The sequence below is a fragment of the Homo sapiens genome, chromosome 12 (assembly GCF_000001405.40).
Source record: "Homo sapiens chromosome 12, GRCh38.p14 Primary Assembly".
Taxonomy (NCBI): domain Eukaryota; kingdom Metazoa; phylum Chordata; class Mammalia; order Primates; family Hominidae; genus Homo; species Homo sapiens.
The window spans coordinates 73,981,484-73,986,687 of NC_000012.12; positions in this window are offsets into that span (position 1 = coordinate 73,981,484).

A 5,204-nucleotide genomic window follows, 5' to 3' on the forward strand; every position below is an offset into this window, starting at 1 on the left:
AATAAAATACTGGCAAAACGAATCCAGCAGCACATCAAAAACCTTATCCACCATGATCAAGTGGGCTTCATCCCTGGGATGCAAGGCTGGTTCAATATACGCAAATCAATAAATGTAATCCAGCATATAAACAGAGCCAAAGACAAAAACCACATGATTATCTCAATAGATGCAGAAAAGGACTTCAACAAAATTCAACAACCCTTCATGCTAAAAACTCTCAATAAATTAGGTATTGATGGGACGTATTTCAAAATAATAAGAGCTATCTATGACAAACCCACAGCCAATACCGTACTGAATGGGCAAAAACTGGAAGCATTCCCTTTGAAAACTGGCACAAGACAGGGATGCCCTCTCTCACCACTCCTATTCAACATATTGTTGGAAGTTCTGGCCAGGGCAATTAGGCAGGAGAAGGAAATAAAGGGTATTCAATTAGGAAAAGAGGAAGTCAAATTGTCCCTGTTTGCAGACGACATGATTGTATATCTAGAAAACCCCATTGTCTCAGCCCAAAATCTCCTTAAGCTGATAAGAACTTCAGCAAAGTCTCAGGATACAAAATCAATGTGCAAAAATCACAAGCATTCTTATACACCAACAACAGACAAACAGAGAGCCAAATCATGACTGAACTCCCATTCACAATTGCTTCAAAGAAAATAAAATACCTAGGAATCCAACTTACAAGGGATGTGAAGGACCTCTTCAAGGAGAACTACAATCCACTGCTCAAGGAAATAAAAGAGGATACAAACAAATGGAAGAACATTCCATGCTCATGGATAGGAAGAATCAATATCGTGAAAATGGCCATACTGCCCAAGGTAATTTATAGATTCAATGCCATCCCCATCAAGCTACCAATGACTTTCTTCACAGAATTGGAAAAAACTACTTTAAAGTTCATACGGAACCAGAAAAGAGCCCGCATCACCAAGTCAATCCTAAGCCAAAAGAACAAAGCTGGAGGCATCACACTACCTGACTTCAAACTATACTACAAGGCTACAGTAACCAAAACAGCATGGTACTGGTACCAAAACAGAGATATAGATCAATGGAACAGAACAGAGCCCTCAGAAATAATGCCGCATATCTACAACTATCTGATCTTTGACAAACCTGAGAAAAACAAGCAATGGGGAAAGGATTCCCTATTTAATAAATGGTGCTGGGAAAACTGGCTAGCCATATGTAGAAAGCTGAAACTGGATCCCTTCCTTACACCTTATACAAAAATCAATTCAAGATGGATTAAAGACTTAAACGTTAGACCTAAAACCATAAAAACCCTAGAAGAAAACCTAGGCATTACCATTCAGGACATAGGCATAGGCAAGGACTTCATGTCTAAAACACCAAAAGCAATGGCAACCAAAGCCAAAATTGACAAATGGGATCTAATTAAACTAAAGAGCTTCTGCACAGCAAAAGAAACTACCATCAGAGTGAACAGGCAACCTACAAAATGGGAGAAAATTTTCGCAACCTACTCATCTGACAAAGGGCTAATATCCAGAATCTACAATGAACTCCAACAAATTTACAAGAAAAAAACAAACAACCCCATCAAAAAGTGGGCGAAGGACATGAACAGACACTTCTCAAAAGAAGACATTTATGCAGCCAAAAAACACATGAAAAAATGTTCATCATCACTGGCCATCAGAGAAATGCAAATCAAAACCACAATGAGATACCATCTCACACCAGTTAGAATGGCAATCATTAAAAAGTCAGGAAACAACAGGTGCTGGAGAGGATGTGGAGAAATAGGAACACTTTTACACTGTTGGTGGGACTGTAAACTAGTTCAACCATTGTGGAAGTCAGTGTGGCGATTCCTCAGGGATCTAGAACTAGAAATACCATTTGACCCAGCCATCCCATTACTGGGTATATACCCAAAGGACTATAAATCATGCTGCTATAAAGACACATGCACACGCATGTTTATTGCGGCATTATTCACAATAGCAAAGACTTGGAACCAACCCAAATGTCCAACAATGATAGACTGGATTAAGAAAATGTGGCACATATACACCATGGAATACTATGCAGCCATAAAAAAGGATGAGTTCATGTCCTTTGTAGGGACATGGATGAAATTGGAAATCATCATTCTCAGTAAACTATCGCAAGAACAAAAAACCAAACACCGCATATTCTCACTCATAGGTGGGAATTGAACAATGAGATTACATGGACACAGGAAGTGGAACATCACACTCTGGGGACTGTTGTGGGGTCGGGGGAGGGGGGAGGGATAGCACTGGGAGATATACCTAATGCTAGATGAGGAGTTAGTGGATGCAGCACACCAGCATGGCACATGTATACATATGTAACTAACCTGCACAATGTGCACATGTACCCTAAAACTTAAAGTATAATAATAAAAAAAAATAAAAGAAATAATAATAAAAAATTAAAAAAATAAAAAATAAATAAAAAAAAAAACTTTCAAAAAAAAAAAAAAGGAATGCATGGGGTAATGAAAACAATTAGAACCCTAAACTTTTTGCATTCTGCTTGGGTCTTCCTCCTATAATTTGCTTAGAATTATCCTGCAATAACCTAAAATTGTAGTCCTCTTCTGTAGAGATGGGAGTTAAGCCACCGAACTTCACTTCTCTCTACCCATCTGCAACTGATGTGTTCGTGATTATGCTAATTATCTTCTTGTTTAAGTGGGGTGTGTTAATGAATTGTAACCTAGGCGGTCGGATCATGAAGTCAGGAGATCGAGACCATCTTGGTTAACACAGTGAAACCCTGTCTCTACGAAAAATACAAAAATTAGCCTGGTGTGGTGGTGCATGCCTGTAATCTCAGCTACTCAGGAGGCTGAGGCAGCAGAATGGCATGAACCCGGGAGGCGAAGCTTGCCTTGAGCCGAGATCGCGCCACTGCACTCCAGCCTGGGCGACAGAGCAAGACTAGGTCTCAAAAAAAAATAAAAATAAAAATAAAGAGAAAGAAAATACAAATGTTAGTTGCCAATATAATTATATTATTACAAAAGCTGCATTGACTTATTTTATCTGATTTCACGTTCATAGAAATCCTATGATATGAGTGTTTTATCCTTATTTTATAGAAAGCTGAGTAGTAGAGAATTGTCACAAATGTTTATACATAATTAATAACACAACCGATAGAATTTGCTAGTGAAGCCATCCTGTCATGGACTTTGTGGGAAGGTTTTTGATTACTAATTCAGTTTATTGTTATGGGTCTATTAAAATGTTCTACCTTGTCTTGAGTCATTTAAGGTATTCTAGGAATTTGCCCATTTCATCCAGGTTACCCAATTTGCTAGCATACAACTGTTCATAGTATTATCTTATAATCTTTTTATTTACCTAAGGTTAACACTAATGTCCCCACTTCCATCTCTAGTTTTCTTTCTCCTCTATATTTTAGTTATTTGTGTTTTCTTTCTTTATTTCTTTGAATCTAGCTAAATATTTGTCAAACTTTGCTGATCTTTCCAAAGAACCAACTTTTGGATCTACTCATTTTCTCTGTTGTTTTTCTATTCTCTATTTTACTTATCTCTGCTCTAGCCTTAACAATTTCCTTCTTTCTGTTAGCTTTGGGCTTAATTTGTTCTTGTTATTTTTTTCTAGTTCTTTGAGGTAAAGTGAGGTTATTGATTTGGGAGCTTTCTTTTTAATTTAAAAAATTATAGCTAGAAATTTCCTTCTGAGCAGTGCTTTTGCTGGATGTCATATATTTTGGTATTTGGGTTTTTGTTTATGGCTATATATTTTCCTCTGTGATTTCTTCTTTGATCCATTCATTGTTTAACAGTGTGTTGTTTAATTGCCAAGTATTTTTGAATTTTCTAGTTTTCCATGTAATTTGTTTTTAGCATCCAACCATTGAGACCTGTTTTGTGGCCTTAATATATAGTACTATATCATGGAGAATATTCCATGTCATGTATTTGAAAAGAATGTGTATTTTGCTGTTACTGGGTGGATTGTTATATATATGTCTGTTAGGTCTAGCTGCTTATATTATTTTTCAAGTCCTTCATTTCCACAGTGATTTTCTATATAGCTGGTCTATCAATTATTGGGAGCTGAATTGTTTATTTTTCCTTTCAATACTGTCAATGTTTCCTTCATATAATTCGGGGACTCTGTTATTTAAAACGCATGCTTATAATTGTTAAATCTTCTTGATGATTTTACATATTTATCAATATATTATGTTCTTATTTGTCCTTTTAACAGTTGTTAATGTAAATTCCATTTTTTTCTGATATTAGTATAGATACCACAGCTCTCTTGCATACTATATCCTTTACATTCTTTTACTTTCAATCTACAGATGTCTTTGTGCTTTGTATTAGTCTCTTATAGACATCATATAGTTGGATCATAGTTTTTCTTCTGTATTATTCATTCTGTCAATTTTGCCCTTTTATGAGTTTAATTCATTTACATTCAGAGTAATCATTAATTAGAAAAAACTTACTTTTGCCATTTTCCTATTATTTCTCTGTTTGTCTTACATAGTGTTTGTCCCTCATATTCTTCATTACTACCTTTGTTGTGTTTAGTTAACTTTTGTACTGAACCATTTTTATTATTTTCTCATTTCATTTTGTGCGTGGTTTTTAGATTATTTTTGTAGTTATCATGAGTGTTACATTTAACATGCTAAATTTAAAACAATTAAATGTTAGCTGATGCCAACTTAACATTAAAAGCATACAGAAACTCTGCTTCTATTCACCCTCATCATCCCTCCTTTATATTGTCATTGTCATCATGAATTGCTTCTTTATGTATAGTGTGCCAAATAATGTAAATTCATAATTTATTTTGCACTTTATTTTATATCTTGTTGGAAAATAGAAAGTGTTGTTACAATAATACCTGCTTTTATATTCACCAATATATTTACTCCTATCAGAGATCTTTATTTCTACATATGGCTTTGAGTTACTGTCTGGCGTCCTTTTATTTCAACCTGAAGGGCTCCCTTTGGCATTTCTTCTAGTGTAGGCATAGTAATAATAAATTCCATCAGCTTTTGTTTATTTGAGAGATGCTTAATTTCTCCCTCATTCTTGAAAGGCAGTTTTGTCATATATAGCTTGATTGTGTCCCAGAGGCCCCTTAGGCTCTGTTCCCTTGTTTTCATTCTATTAGATTGATGCAAAATTAATTGTGGTTTTT